At 40.7% G+C, this 17,179-nt stretch overlaps 1 annotated feature.

Annotated features, from left to right (window-relative positions):
* Positions 1-17,179: part of a centromere (Linear centromere model derived predominantly from reads generated in PMID: 17803354. This region does not represent an actual centromere sequence, as long-range ordering of repeats and unmapped WGS contigs is not provided by the model. For details of model production, see http://arxiv.org/abs/1307.0035.) that runs on past both edges of the window.

A 17,179-nucleotide genomic window follows, 5' to 3' on the forward strand; every position in this document is an offset into this window, starting at 1 on the left:
ACTGGAAACGGGATCATCTTCACATAAGAACTAAACAGAAGCATTCTCGGAAACTACTTTGTGATGTTTGTATTCAACTCCCAGAGTTGAACTTTCCTTTTGAAAGAGCAGCTATGAAACACTCTTTTTCGAGAATCTGCAAGTGGACGTTTGGAGGGCTTTGAGGCCTGTGGTGGAAAAGGAAATATCTTCACATAAAAACTAGAATAGAAGCATTCTCAGAAACGACTTTGTGAGGATGGCATTCAACTCATGGAGTTGAACAATCCTATTGATAGAGCAGATTGGAATCACTCTTTTTGTAGAATCTGCAAATGGAGATTTGGACTGCTTTGAGGCCTCCGGTCGTATAGGAAGGAACTTCATATAAAAGGCAAACGGAAGCATTCTCAGAATATTCTTTGTGATGATGGAGTTTCACTCACAGAGCTGAACATGCCTGTTGATGGAGCAGTTTCCAAATACACTTTTGGTAGAATCTGCAGGTGGACATTTGGACCTCTCTGAGGATTTCGTTGGGAACGGGAATAATTTCCCATAACTAAACACAAACACGCTGAGAAAGTTCTTCATGATGAATGCATTTAACTCGCAGAGATGAACCTGCCTTTGAGAGTTCAGGTTCGAAACACTCTTTCTGTAGAATCTGCAAGTGGATATTTGGACCACTGGCTGGCCTTCGTTCGAAACGGGTATATGTTCACGTAAAAACTAAAGAGAAGCGTTCTCAGAAACTTCTGAGTGATGATTGCATTCAAGTCACACAGTTGAACCCTCCTTTTGATTGAGCAGTTTTGAAACTGTCTTTTTGTAGAATCTGTAAGTGGATGCGTGGACCTCTTTGAAGATTTCTTTGGAAACGGGAATATTTCCACAGAAAAACTAAACTGAAGCATTCTCAGAAACTGCTTTGTGATCTTTGTGTTCGAGCCACAGAGTTTAACATTGCTTTTCATAGAGCAGTTTTGAAATATTCTTTTGGCAGAATCTGCAAGTGGACATTTGGAGCCCTTTCAGGCCTGTGGTGGAAAAGGCCTGAAAGCCTTTTCCTTAATCTTCACAGAAAGACGAGAGAGAAGCATTGTCAGAAACTTCTTTGTGATGATTGCATTCAACTCACAGAGTTGAAGATTCCTTTTGAAACAGCAGTTTCGAAACACTCTTTCTGTGGGATCCGCAAGGGGATATTTGGACCTCTTTGAAGGTTTCGTTGGAAACGGGATAATCTTCACCTAAAAGCTAAACGGAAGCATTCTCAGAAACTTCTTTGGGATGTTTGCATTCACCTCACAGAGTTGAACTTTCCCTTTGATAGCGCAGCTTTGACACACTTTTTCTACAATGTGCAAGTGGCTATTTAGCGGGCTTGGAGGACTGTGTTGGAAAAGGAAATATCTTCTCCTAAAAACGACATAGAAGCATTCTCAGAAACTGCTCTGTGATGATTGCATTCAACTCCCAGAGTTGAACATTCCTTTTGATAGAGCAGTTTGCAAACACTCTTTTTGTAGAATCTGCAAGTGGAGATTTGGACCGCTTTGAGGCCTGTGGTAGTGAAGGAAAGAACTTCATATAAAAACCAGACGGTAGCACTCTCAGAAAATTCTTTGTGACGATGGAGTTTAACTCAGGGAGCTGAACATTCGTTATGATGGAGCAGTTTCCAAACACACGTTTTGTAGAATCTGCGAGGGGATATTTGGACCTCTCTGAGGATTTCGTTGGAAACGGGATCAACTTCCCATAACTGAACGGAAGCAAACTCAGAACATTCTTTGTGATGTTTGTATTCAACTCACAGAGTTGAACCTTCCTTTGATAGTTCAGGTTTGCAACACCCTTGTAGTAGAATCTGCAAGTGTATATTTTGACCACTTTGTAGCCTTCGTTTGAAACGTCTATATCTTCACATCAAACCTAGACAGAAGCATTCTCAGAAAGTTTTCTGCGATGACTGCATTCAACTCACAGAGTTGAACAATCCTTCTGATGGAGCAGTTTTGAAACCCTCTTTCTTTGGAATCTGCAAGGGGATATGTGGACCTCTTTGAAGATTTCACTGGAAACGGGATCGATCATCTTCACATAAAAACTAAACAGAAGCATTCTCGGAAACTACTTTGTGATGTTTGTATTCAACTCCCAGAGTTGAACTTTCCTTTTGAAAGAGCAGCTATGAAACACTCTTTTTCGAGAATCTGCAAGTGGACGTTTGGAGGGCTTTGAGGCCTGTGGTGGAAAAGGAAATATCTTCACATAAAAACTAGATAGAAGCATTCTCAGAAACGACTTTGTGAGGATGGCATTCAACTCATGGAGTTGAACAATCCTATTGATAGAGCAGATTGGAATCACTCTTTTTGTAGAATCTGCAAATGGAGATTTGGACTGCTTTGAGGCCTAAGGTAGTATAGGAAGGAACTTCATATAAAAGGCAAACGGAAGCATTCTCAGAATATTCTTTGTGATGATGGAGTTTCACTCACAGAGCTGAACATGCCTTTTGATGGAGCAGTTTCCAAATACACTTTTGGTAGAATCTGCAGGTGGATATTTGGAGCTCTCTGAGGATTTCGTTGGAAACGGGAATAATTTCCCATAACTAAACACAAACACTCTGAGAAAGTTCTTCATGATGAATGCATTTAACTCGCAGAGATGAACCTGCCTTTGAGAGTTCAGGTTCGAAACACTCTTTCTGTAGAATCTGCAAGTGGATATTTGGACCACTGGCTGGCCTTCGTTCGAAACGGGTATATGTTCACGTAAAAACTAAAGAGAAGCATTCTCAGAAACTTCTGAGTGATGATTGCATTCAAGTCACACAGTTGAACCCTCCTTTTGATGGAGCAGTTTTGAAACTGTCTTTTTGTAGAATCTGTAAGTGGATACGTGGACCTCTTTGAAGATTTCTTTGGAAACGGGAATATTTCCACAGAAAAACTAAACTGAAGCATTCTCAGAAACTGCTATGTGATGTTTGTGTTCGAGCCACAGAGTTTAACATTGCTTTTCATAGAGCAGTTTTGAAATATTCTTTTGGCAGAATCTGCAAGTGGACATTTGGAGCGCTTTCAGGCCTGTGGTTGAAAAGGCCTGAAAGCCTTTTCCTTTATCTTCACAGAAAGACGAGAGAGAAGCATTGTCAGAAACTTCTTTGTGATGATTGCATTCAACTCACAGAGTTGAAGATTCCTTTTGAAACAGCAGTTTCGAAACACTCTTTCTGTGGGATCCGCAAGGGGATATTTGGACCTCTTTGAAGGTTTCGTTGGAAACGGGATAATCTTCACCTAAAAGCTAAACGGAAGCACTCTCAGAAACTTCTTTGGGATGTTTGCATTCACCTCACAGAGTTGAACTTTCCCTTTGATAGCGCAGCTTTGACACACTTTTTCTACAATGTGCAAGTGGATATTTAGCGGGCGTGGAGGACTGTGTTGGAAAAGGAAATATCTTCTCCTAAAAACGACATAGAAGCATTCTCAGAAACTGCTCTGTGATGATTGCATTCAACTCCCAGAGTTGAACATTCCTTTTGATAGAGCAGTTTGCAAACACTCTTTTTGTAGAATCTGCAAGTGGAGATTTGGACCGCTTTGAGGCCTGTGGTAGTGAAGGAAAGAACTTCATATAAAAACCAGACGGTAGCACTCTCAGAAAATTCTTTGTGACGATGGAGTTTAACTCAGGGAGCTGAACATTCGTTATGATGGAGCAGTTTCCAAACACACGTTTTGTAGAATCTGCAAGGGGATATTTGGACCTCTCTGAGGATTTCGTTGGAAACGGGATCAACTTCCCATAACTGAACGGAAGCAAACTCAGAACATTCTTTGTGATGTTTGTATTCAACTCACAGAGTTGAACCTTCCTTTGATAGTTCAGGTTTGCAACACCCTTGTAGTAGAATCTGCAAGTGTATATTTTGACCACTTTGTAGCCTTCGTTTGAAACGTCTATATCTTCACATCAAACCTAGACAGAAGCATTCTCAGAAAGTTTTCTGCGATGACTGCATTCAACTCACAGAGTTGAACAATCCTTCTGATGGAGCAGTTTTGAAACCCTCTTTCTTTGGAATCTGCAAGGGGATATGTGGACCTCTTTGAAGATTTCACTGGAAACGGGATCATCTTCACATAAAAACTAAACTGAAGCATTCTCGGAAACTATTTTGTGATGTTTGTATTCAACTCCCAGAGTTGAACTTTCCTTTTGAAAGAGCAGCTATGAAACACTCTTTTTCGAGAATCTGCAAGTGGACGTTTGGAGGGCTTTGAGGCCTGTGGTGGAAAAGGAAATATCTTCACACAAAAACCAGATAGAAGCATTCTCAGAAACTACTTTGTGAGGATGGCATTCAACTCATGGAGTTGAACAATCCTATTGATAGAGCAGATTGGAATCACTCTTTTTATAGAATCTGCAAATGGAGATTTGGACTGCTTTGAGGCCTACGGTAGTACAGGAAGGAACTTCATATAAAAGGCAAACGGAAGCATTCTCAGAATATTCTTTGTGATGATGGAGTTTCACTCACAGAGCTGAACATGCCTTTTGATGGAGCAGTTTCCAAATACACTTTTGGTAGAATCTGCAGGTGGATATTTGGAGCTCTCTGAGGATTTCGTTGGAAACGGGAATAATTTCCCATAACTAAACACAAACACTCTGAGAAAGTTCTTCATGATGAATGCATTTAACTCGCAGAGATGAACCTGCCTTTGAGAGTTCAGGTTCGAAACACTCTTTCTGTAGAATCTGCAAGTGGATATTTGGACCACTGGGTGGCCTTCGTTCGAAACGGGTATATGTTCACGTAAAAACTAAAGAGAAGCATTCTCAGAAACTTCTGAGTGATGATTGCATTCAATTCACACAGTTGAACCCTCCTTTTGATGGAGCAGTTTTGAAACTGTCTTTCTGTAGAATCTGTAAGTGGATACGTGGACCTCTTTGAAGATTTCTTTGGAAACGGGAATATTTCCACAGAAAAACTAAACTGAAGCATTCTCAGAAACTGCTTTGTGATGTTTGTGTTCGAGCCACAGAGTTTAACAATGCTTTTCATAGAGCAGTTTTGAAATATTCTTTTGGCAGAATCTGCAAGTGGACATTTGGAGCGCTTTCAGGCCTGTGGTGGAAAAGGCCTGAAAGCCTTTTCCTTTATTTTCACAGAAAGACGAGAGAGAAGCATTGTCAGAAACTTCTTTGTGATGATTGCATTCAACTCACAGAGTTGAAGATTCCTTTTGAAACAGCAGTTTCGAAACACTCTTTCTGTGGGATCCGCAAGGGGATATTTGGACCTCTTTGAAGGTTTCGTTGGAAACGGGATAATCTTCACCTAAAAGCTAAACGGAAGCATTCTCAGAAACTTCTTTGGGATGTTTGCATTCACCTCACAGAGTTGAACTTTCCCTTTGATAGCGCAGCTTTGACACACTTTTTCTACAATGTGCAAGTGGCTATTTAGCGGGCTTGGAGGATTGTGTTGGAAAAGGAAATATCTTCTCCTAAAAACGACATAGAAGCATTCTCAGAAACTGCTCTGTGATGATTGCATTCAACTCCCAGAGTTGAACATTCCTTTTGATAGAGCAGTTTGCAAACACTCTTTTTGTAGAATCTGCAAGTGGAGATTTGGACCGCTTTGAGGCCTGTGGTAGTGAAGGAAAGAACTTCATATAAAAACCAGACGGTAGCACTCTCAGAAAATTCTTTGTGACGATGGAGTTTAACTCAGGGAGCTGAACATTCGTTATGATGGAGCAGTTTCCAAACACACGTTTTGTAGAATCTGCAAGGGGATATTTAGACCTCTCTGAGGATTTCGTTGGAAACGGGATCAACTTCCCATAACTGAACGGAAGCAAACTCAGAACATTCTTTGTGATGTTTGTATTCAACTCACAGAGTTGAACCTTCCTTTGATAGTTCAGGTTTGCAACACCCTTGTAGTAGAATCTGCAAGTGTATATTTTGACCACTTTGTAGCCTTCGTTTGAAACGTCTATATCTTCACATCAAACCTAGACAGAAGCATTCTCAGAAAGTTTTCTGCGATGACTGCATTCCACTCACAGAGTTGAACAATCCTTCTGATGGAGCAGTTTTGAAACCCTCTTTCTTTGGAATCTGCAAGGGGATATGTGGACCTCTTTGAAGATTTCACTGGAAACGGGATCATCTTCACATAAAAACTAAACAGAAGCATTCTCGGAAACTACTTTGTGATGTTTGTATTCAACTCCCAGAGTTGAACTTTCCTTTTGAAAGAGCAGCTATGAAACACTCTTTTTCGAGAATCTGCAAGTGGACGTTTGGAGGGCTTTGAGGCCTGTGGTGGAAAAGGAAATATCTTCACATTAAAACTAGATAGAAGCATTCTCAGAAACTACTTTGTGAGGATGGCATTCAACTCATGGAGTTGAACAATCCTATTGATAGAGCAGATTGGAATCACTCTTTTTGTAGAATCTGCAAACGGAGATTTGGACTGCTTTGAGGCCTACGGTAGTATAGGAAGGAACTTCATATAAAAGGCAAACGGAAGCATTCTCAGAATATTCTTTGTGATGATGGAGTTTCACTCACAGAGCTGAACATGCCTTTTGATGGAGCAGTTTCCAAATACACTTTTGGTAGAATCTGCAGGTGGATATTTGGAGCTCTCTGAGGATTTCGTTGGAAACGGGAATAATTTCCCATAACTAAACACAAACACTCTGAGAAAGTTCTTCATGATGAATGCTTTTAACTCGCAGAGATGAACCTGCCTTTGAGAGTTCAGGTTCGAAACACTCTTTCTGTAGAATCTGCAAGTGGATATTTGGACCACTGGGTGGCCTTCGTTCGAAACGGGTATATGTTCACGTAAAAACTAAAGAGAAGCATTCTCAGAAACTTCTGAGTGATGATTGCATTCAAGTCACACAGTTGAACCCTCCTTTTGATGGAGCAGTTTTGAAACTGTCTTTTTGTAGAATCTGTAAGTGGATACGTGGACCTCTTTGAAGATTTCTTTGGAAACGGGAATATTTCCACAGAAAAACTAAACTGAAGCATTCTCAGAAACCGCTTTGTGATGTTTGTGTTCGAGCCACAGAGTTTAACATTGCTTTTCATAGAGCAGTTTTGAAATATTCTTTTCGCAGAATCTGCAAGTGGACATTTGGAGCGCTTTCAGGCCTGTGGTGGAAAAGGCCTGAAAGCCTTTTCCTTTATCTTCACAGAAAGACGAGAGAGAAGCATTGTCAGAAACTTCTTTGTGATGATTGCATTCAACTCACAGAGTTGAAGATTCCTTTTGAAACAGCAGTTTCGAAACACTCTTTCTGTGGGATCCGCAAGGGGATATTTGGACCTCTTTGAAGGTTTCGTTGGAAACGGGATAATCTTCACCTAAAAGCTAAACGGAAGCATTCTCAGAAACTTCTTTGGGATGTTTGCATTCACCTGACAGAGTTGAACTTTCCCTTTGATAGCGCAGCTTTGACACACTTTTTCTACAATGTGCAAGTGGCTATTTAGCGGGCTTGGAGGACTGTGTTGGAAAAGGAAATATCTTCTCCTAAAAACGACATAGAAGCATTCTCAGAAACTGCTCTGTGATGATTGCATTCAACTCCCAGAGTTGAACATTCCTTTTGATAGAGCAGTTTGCAAACACTCTTTTTGTAGAATCTGCAAGTGGAGATTTGGACCGCTTTGAGGCCTGTGGTAGTGAAGGAAAGAACTTCATATAAAAACCAGACGGTAGCACTCTCAGAAAATTCTTTGTGACGATGGAGTTTAACTCAGGGAGCTGAACATTCGTTATGATGGAGCAGTTTCCAAACACACGTTTTGTAGAATCTGCGAGGGGATATTTGGACCTCTCTGAGGATTTCGTTGGAAACGGGATCAACTTCCCATAACTGAACGGAAGCAAACTCAGAACATTCTTTGTGATGTTTGTATTCAACTCACAGAGTTGAACCATCCTTTGATAGTTCAGGTTTGTAACACCCTTGTAGTAGAATCTGCAAGTGTATATTTTGACCACTTTGTAGCCTTCGTTTGAAACGTCTATATCTTCACATCAAACCTAGACAGAAGCATTCTCAGAAAGTTTTCTGCGATGACTGCATTCAACTCACAGAGTTGAACAATCCTTCTGATGGAGCAGTTTTGAAACCCTCTTTCTTTGGAATCTGCAAGGGGATATGTGGACCTCTTTGAAGATTTCACTGGAAACGGGATCATCTTCACATAAAAACTAAACAGAAGCATTCTCGGAAACTACTTTGTGATGTTTGTATTCAACTCCCAGAGTTGAACTTTCCTTTTGAAAGAGCAGCTATGAAACACTCTTTTTCGAGAATCTGCAAGTGGACGTTTGGAGGGCTTTGAGGCCTGTGGTGGAAAAGGAAATATCTTCACATAAAAACTAGATAGAAGCATTCTCAGAAACGACTTTGTGAGGATGGCATTCAACTCATGGAGTTGAACAATCCTATTGATAGAGCAGATTGGAATCACTCTTTTTGTAGAATCTGCAAATGGAGATTTGGACTGCTTTGAGGCCTACGGTCGTATAGGAAGGAACTTCATATAAAAGGCAAACGGAAGCATTCTCAGAATGTTCTTTGTGATGATGGAGTTTCACTCACAGAGCTGAACATGCCTTTTGATGGAGCAGTTTCCAAATACACTTTTGGTAGAATCTGCAGGTGGATATTTGGAGCTCTCTGAGGATTTCATTGGAAACGGGAATAATTTCCCATAACTAAACACAAACACTCTGAGAAAGTTCTTCATGATGAATGCATTTAACTCGCAGAGATGAACCTGCCTTTGAGAGTTCAGGTTCGAAACACTCTTTCTGTATAATCTGCAAGTGGATATTTGGACCACTGGGTGGCCTTCGTTCGAAACGGGTATATGTTCACGTAAAAACTAAAGAGAAGCATTCTCAGAAACTTCTGAGTGATGATTGCATTCAAGTCACACGGTTGAACCCTCCTTTTGATGGAGCAGTTTTGAAACTGTCTTTTTGTAGAATCTGTAAGTGGATACGTGGACCTCTTTGAAGATTTCTTTGGAAACGGGAATATTTCCACAGAAAAACTAAACTGAAGCATTCTCAGAAACCGCTTTGTGATGTTTGTGTTCGAGCCACAGAGTTTAACATTGCTTTTCATAGAGCAGTTTTGAAATATTCTTTTCGCAGAATCTGCAAGTGGACATTTGGAGCGCTTTCAGGCCTGTGGTGGAAAAGGGCCTGAAAGCCTTTTCCTTTATCTTCACAGAAAGACGAGAGAGAAGCATTGTCAGAAACTTCTTTGTGATGATTGCATTCAACTCACAGAGTTGAAGATTCCTTTTGAAACAGCAGTTTCGAAACACTCTTTCTGTGGGATCCGCAAGGGGATATTTGGACCTCTTGGAAGGTTTCGTTGGAAACGGGATAATCTTCACCTAAAAGCTAAACGGAAGCATTCTCAGAAACTTCTTTGGGATGTTTGCATTCACCTCACAGAGTTGAACTTTCCCTTTGATAGCGCAGCTTTGACACACTTTTTCTACAATGTGCAAGTGGCTATTTAGCGGGCTTGGAGGACTGTGTTGGAAAAGGAAATATCTTCTCCTAAAAACGACATAGAAGCATTCTCAGAAACTGCTCTGTGATGATTGCATTCAACTCCCAGAGTTGAACATTCCTTTTGATAGAGCAGTTTGCAAACTCTCTTTTTGTAGAATCTGCAAGTGGAGATTTGGACCGCTTTGAGGCCTGTGGTAGTGAAGGAAAGAACTTCATATAAAAACCAGACGGTAGCACTCTCAGAAAATTCTTTGTGACGATGGAGTTTAACTCAGGGAGCTGAACATTCGTTATGATGGAGCAGTTTCCAAACACACGTTTTGTAGAATCTGCAAGGGGATATTTGGACCTCTCTGAGGATTTCGTTGGAAACGGGATCAACTTCCCATAACTGAACGGAAGCAAACTCAGAACATTCTTTGTGATGTTTGTATTCAACTCACAGAGTTGAACCTTCCTTTGATAGTTCAGGTTTGCAACACCCTTGTAGTAGAATCTGCAAGTGTATATTTTGACCACTTTGTAGCCTTCGTTTGAAACGTCTATATCTTCACATCAAACCTAGACAGAAGCATTCTCAGAAAGTTTTCTGCGATGACTGCATTCAACTCACAGAGTTGAACAATCCTTCTGATGGAGCAGTTTTGAAACCCTCTTTCTTTGGAATCTGCAAGGGGATATGTGGACCTCTTTGAAGATTTCACTGGAAACGGGATCATCTTCACATAAAAACTAAACAGAAGCATTCTCGGAAACTACTTTGTGATGTTTGTATTCAACTCCCAGAGTTGAACTTTCCTTTTGAAAGAGCAGCTATGAAACACTCTTTTTCGAGAATCTGCAAGTGGACGTTTGGAGGGCTTTGAGGCCTGTGGTGGAAAAGGAAATATCTTCACATAAAAACTAGATAGAAGCATTCTCAGAAACTACTTTGTGAGGATGGCATTCAACTCATGGAGTTGAACAGTCCTATTGATAGAGCAGATTGGAATCACTCTTTTTGTAGAATCTGCAAATGGAGATTTGGACTGCTTTGAGGCCTACGGTAGTATAGGAAGGAACTTCATATAAAAGGCAAACGGAAGCATTCTCAGAATATTCTTTGTGATGATGGAGTTTCACTCACAGAGCTGAACATGCCTTTTGATGGAGCAGTTTCCAAATACACTTTTGGTAGAATCTGCAGGTGGATATTTGGAGCTCTCTGAGGATTTCGTTGGAAACGGGAATAATTTCCCATAACTAAACACAAACACGCTGAGAAAGTTCTTCATGATGAATGCATTTAACTCGCAGAGATGAACCTGCCTTTGAGAGTTCAGGTTCGAAACACTCTTTCTGTAGAATCTGCAAGTGGATATTTGGACCACTGGCTGGCCTTCGTTCGAAACGGGTATATGTTCACGTAAAAACTAAAGAGAAGCGTTCTCAGAAACTTCTGAGTGATGAATGCATTCAAGTCACACAGTTGAACCCTCCTTTTGATTGAGCAGTTTTGAAACTGTCTTTTTGTAGAATCTGTAAGTGGATGCGTGGACCTCTTTGAAGATTTCTTTGGAAACGGGAATATTTCCACAGAAAAACTAAACTGAAGCATTCTCAGAAACTGCTTTGTGATGTTTGTGTTCGAGCCGCAGAGTTTAACATTGCTTTTCATAGAGCAGTTTTGAAATATTCTTTTGGCAGAATCTGCAAGTGGACATTTGGAGCGCTTTCAGGCCTGTGGTGGAAATGGCCTGAAAGCCTTTTCCTTTATCTTCACAGAAAGACGAGAGAGAAGCATTGTCAGAAACTTCTTTGTGATGATTGCATTCAACTCACAGAGTTGAAGATTCCTTTTGAAACAGCAGTTTCGAAACACTCTTTCTGTGGGATCCGCAAGGGGATATTTGGACCTCTTTGAAGATTTCGTTGGAAACGGGATAATCTTCACTTAAAGCTAAACGGAAGCATTCTCAGAAACTTCTTTGGGATGTTTGCATTCACCTCACAGAGTTGAACTTTCCCTTTGATAGCGCAGCTTCGACACACTTTTTCTACAATGTGCAAGTGGCTATTTAGCGGGCTTGGAGGACTGTGTTGGAAAAGGAAATATCTTCTCCTAAAAACGACATAGAAGCATTCTCAGAAACTGCTCTGTGATGATTGCATTCAACTCCCAGAGTTGAACATTCCTTTTGATAGAGCAGTTTGCAAACACTCTTTTTGTAGAATCTGCAAGTGGAGATTTGGACCGCTTTGAGGCCTGTGATAGTGAAGGAAAGAACTTCATATAAAAACCAGACGGTAGCACTCTCAGAAAATTCTTTGTGACGATGGAGTTTAACTCAGGGAGCTGAACATTCGTTATGATGGAGCAGTTTCCAAACACACGTTTTGTAGAATCTGCGAGGGGATATTTGGACCTCTCTGAGTATTTCGTTGGAAACGGGATCAACTTCCCATAACTGAACGGAAGCAAACTCAGAACATTCTTTGTGATGTTTGTATTCAACTCACAGAGTTGAACCTTCCTTTGATAGTTCAGGTTTGCAACACCCTTGTAGTAGAATCTGCAAGTGTATATTTTGACCACTTTGTAGCCTTCGTTTGAAACGTCTATATCTTCACATCAAACCTAGACAGAAGCATTCTCAGAAAGTTTTCTGCGATGACTGCATTCAACTCACAGAGTTGAACAATCCTTCTGATGGAGCAGTTTTGAAACCCTCTTTCTTTGGAATCTGCAAGGGGATATGTGGACCTCTTTGAAGATTTCACTGGAAACGGGATCATCTTCACATAAAAACTAAACAGAAGCATTCTCGGAAACTACTTTGTGATGTTTGTATTCAACTCCCAGAGTTGAACTTTCCTTTTGAAAGAGCAGCTATGAAACACTCTTTTTCGAGAATCTGCAAGTGGACGTTTGGAGGGCTTTGAGGCCTGTGGTGGAAAAGGAAATATCTTCACATAAAAACTAGATAGAAGCATTCTCAGAAACGACTTTGTGAGGATGGCATTCAACTCATGGAGTTGAACAATCCTATTGATAGAGCAGATTGGAATCACTCTTTTTGTAGAATCTGCAAATGGAGATTTGGACTGCTTTGAGGCCTACGGTCGTATAGGAAGGAACTTCATATAAAAGGCAAACGGAAGCATTCTCAGAATATTCTTTGTGATGATGGAGTTTCACTCACAGAGCTGAACATGCCTTTTGATGGAGCAGTTTCCAAATACACTTTTGGTAGAATCTGCAGGTGGATATTTGGACCTCTCTGAGGATTTCGTTGGAAACGGGAATAATTTCCCATAACTAAACACAAACACTCTGAGAAAGTTCTTCATGATGAATGCATTTAACTCGCAGAGATGAACCTGCCTTTGAGAGTTCAGGTTCGAAACACTCTTTCTGTATAATCTGCAAGTGGATATTTGGACCACTGGGTGGCCTTCGTTCGAAACGGGTATATGTTCACGTAAAAACTAAAGAGAAGCATTCTCAGAAACTTCTGAGTGATGATTGCATTCAAGTCACACAGTTGAACCCTCCTTTTGATGGAGCAGTTTTGAAACTGTCTTTTTGTAGAATCTGTAAGTGGATACGTGGACCTCTTTGAAGATTTCTTTGGAAACGGGAATATTTCCACAGAAAAACTAAACTGAAGCATTCTCAGAAACTGCTTTGTGATGTTTGTGTTCGAGCCACAGAGTTTAACATTGCTTTTCATAGAGCAGTTTTGAAATATTCTTTTCGCAGAATCTGCAAGTGGACATTTGGAGCGCTTTCAGGCCTGTGGTGGAAAAGGCCTGAAAGCCTTTTCTTTATCTTCACAGAAAGACGAGAGAGAAGCATTGTCAGAAACTTCTTTGTGATGATTGCATTCAACTCACAGAGTTGAAGATTCCTTTTGAAACAGCAGTTTCGAAACACTCTTTCTGTGGGATCCGCAAGGGGATATTTGCACCTCTTTGAAGGTTTCGTTGGAAACGGGATAATCTTCACCTAAAAGCTAAACGGAAGCATTCTCAGAAACTTCTTTGGGATGTTTGCATTCACCTCACAGAGTTGAACTTTCCCTTTGATAGCGCAGCTTTGACACACTTTTTCTACAATGTGCAAGTGGCTATTTAGCGGGCTTGGAGGACTGTGTTGGAAAAGGAAATATCTTCTCCTAAAAACGACATAGAAGCATTCTCAGAAACTGCTCTGTGATGATTGCATTCAACTCCCAGAGTTGAACATTCCTTTTGATAGAGCAGTTTGCAAACACTCTTTTTGTAGAATCTGCAAGTGGAGATTTGGACCGCTTTGAGGCCTGTGGTAGTGAAGGAAAGAACTTCATATAAAAACCAGACGGTAGCACTCTCAGAAAATTCTTTGTGACGATGGAGTTTAACTCAGGGAGCTGAACATTCGTTATGATGGAGCAGTTTCCAAACACACGTTTTGTAGAATCTGCGAGGGGATATTTGGACCTCTCTGAGGATTTCGTTGGAAAAGGGATCAACTTCCCATAACTGAACGGAAGCAAACTCAGAACATTCTTTGTGATGTTTGTATTCAACTCACAGAGTTGAACCTTCCTTTGATAGTTCAGGTTTGCAACACCCTTGTAGTAGAATCTGCAAGTGTATATTTTGACCACTTTGTAGCCTTCGTTTGAAACGTCTATATCTTCACATCAAACCTAGACAGAAGCATTCTCAGAAAGTTTTCTGCGATGACTGCATTCAACTCACAGAGTTGAACAATCCTTCTGATGGAGCAGTTTTGAAACCCTCTTTCTTTGGAATCTGCAAGGGGATATGTGGACCTCTTTGAAGATTTCACTGGAAACGGGATCATCTTCACATAAAAACTAAACAGAAGCATTCTCGGAAACTACTTTGTGATGTTTGTATTCAACTCCCAGAGTTGAACTTTCCTTTTGAAAGAGCAGCTATGAAACACTCTTTTTCGAGAATCTGCAAGTGGACGTTTGGAGGGCTTTGAGGCCTGTGGTGGAAAAGGAAATATCTTCACATAAAAACTAGATAGAAGCATTCTCAGAAACGACTTTGTGAGGATGGCATTCAACTCATGGAGTTGAACAATCCTATTGATAGAGCAGATTGGAATCACTCTTTTTGTAGAATCTGCAAATGGAGATTTGGACTGCTTTGAGGCCTACGGTCGTATAGGAAGGAACTTCATATAAAAGGCAAACGGAAGCATTCTCAGAATATTCTTTGTGATGATGGAGTTTCACTCACAGAGCTGAACATGCCTTTTGATGGAGCAGTTTCCAAATACACTTTTGGTAGAATCTGCAGGTGGATATTTGGAGCTCTCTGAGGATTTCGTTGGAAACGGGAATAATTTCCCATAACTAAACACAAACACTCTGAGAAAGTTCTTCATGATGAATGCATTTAACTCGCAGAGATGAACCTGCCTTTGAGAGTTCAGGTTCGAAACACTCTTTCTGTAGAATCTGCAAGTGGATATTTGGACCACTGTGTGGCCTTCGTTCGAAACGGGTATATGTTCACGTAAAAACTAAAGAGAAGCATTCTCAGAAACTTGTGAGTGATGATTGCATTCAAGTCACACAGTAGAACCCTCCTTTTGATGGAGCAGTTTTGAAACTGTCTTTTTGTAGAATCTGTAAGTGGATACGTGGACCTCTTTGAAGATTTCTTTGGAAACGGGAATATTTCCACAGAAAAACTAAACTGAAGCATTCTCAGAAACCGCTTTGTGATGTTTGTGTTCGAGCCACAGAGTTTAACATTGCTTTTCATAGAGCAGTTTTGAAATATTCTTTTGGCAGAATCTGCAAGTGGACATTTGGAGCGCTTTCAGGCCTGTGGTGGAAAAGGCCTGAAAGCCTTTTCCTTTATCTTCACAGAAAGACGAGAGAGAAGCATTGTCAGAAACTTCTTTGTGATGATTGCATTCAACTCACAGAGTTGAAGATTCCTTTTGAAACAGCAGTTTCGAAACACTCTTTCTGTGGGATCCGCAAGGGGATATTTGGACCTCTTTGAAGGTTTCGTTGGAAACGGGATAATCCTCACCTAAAAGCTAAACGGGAAGCATTCTCAGAAACTTCTTTGGGATGTTTGCATTCACCTCACAGAGTTGAACTTTCCCTTTGATAGCGCAGCTTCGACACACTTTTTCTACAATGTGCAAGTGGATATTTAGCGGGCTTGGAGGACTGTGTTGGAAAAGGAAATATCTTCTCCTAAAAACGACATAGAAGCATTCTCAGAAACTGCTCTGTGATGATTGCATTCAACTCCCAGAGTTGAACATTCCTTTTGATAGAGCAGTTTGCAAACACTGTTTTTGTAGAATCTGCAAGTGGAGATTTGGACCGCTTTGAGGCCTGTGGTAGTAAAGGAAAGAACTTCATATAAAAACTAGACGGTAGCACCCTCAGAAAATTCTTTGTGACGATGGAGTTTAACTCAGAGAGCTGAACATTCGTTATGATGGAGCAGTTTCCAAACACACGTTTTGTAGAATCTGCAAGGGGATATTTGGACCTCTCTGAGGATTTCGTTGGAAATGGGATCAACTTCCCATAGCTGAACGGAAGCAAACTCAGAACATTCTTTGTGATGTTTGTATTCAACTCACAGAGTTGAACCTTCCTTTGATAGTTCAGGTTTGCATCACCCTTGTAGTAGAATCTGCAAGTGTATATTTTGACCACTTTGTAGCGTTCGTTTGAAACGTCTATATCTTCACATCAAACCTAGACAGAAGCATTCTCAGAAAGTTTTCTGCGATGACTGCATTCAACTCACAGAGTTGAACAATCCTTTTGATGGAGCAGTTTTGAACCCCTCTTTCTTTGGAATCTGCAAGGGGATATGTGGACCTCTTTGAAGGTTTCACTGGAAACGGGATCATCTTCACATAAGAACTAAACAGAAGCATTCTCGGAAACTACTTGGTGATGTTTGTATTCAACTCCCAGAGTTGAACTTTCCTTTTGAAAGAGCAGCTATGAAACACTCTTTTTCGAGAATCTGCAAGTGGACGTTTGGAGGGCTTTGAGGCCTGTGGTGGAAAAGGATATATCTTCACATAAAAACTAGATAGAAGCATTCTCAGAAACGACTTTGTGAGGATGGCATTCAACTCATGGAGTTGAACAATCCTATTGATAGAGCAGATTGGAATCACTCTTTTTGTAGAATCTGCAAATGGAGATTTGGACTGCTTTGAGGCCTACGGTAGTATAGGAAGGAACTTCATATAAAAGGCAAACGGAAGCATTCTCAGAATATTCTTTGTGATGATGGAGTTTCACTCACAGAGCTGAACATGCCTTTTGATGGAGCAGTTTCCAAATACACTTTTGGTAGAATCTGCAGGTGGATATTTGGAGCTCTCTGAGGATTTCGTTGGAAACGGGAATAATTTCCCATAACTAAACACAAACACTCTGAGAAAGTTCTTCATGATGAATGCATTTAACTCGCAGAGATGAACCTGCCTTTGAGAGTTCAGGTTCGAAACACTCTTTCTGTAGAATCTGCAAGTGGATATTTGGACCACTGGGTGGCCTTCGTTCGAAACGGGTATATGTTCACAGTAAAAACTAAAGA

The sequence above is a fragment of the Homo sapiens genome, chromosome X (assembly GCF_000001405.40).
Source record: "Homo sapiens chromosome X, GRCh38.p14 Primary Assembly".
In the NCBI taxonomy this organism is placed as follows: Eukaryota; Metazoa; Chordata; class Mammalia; order Primates; family Hominidae; genus Homo; species Homo sapiens.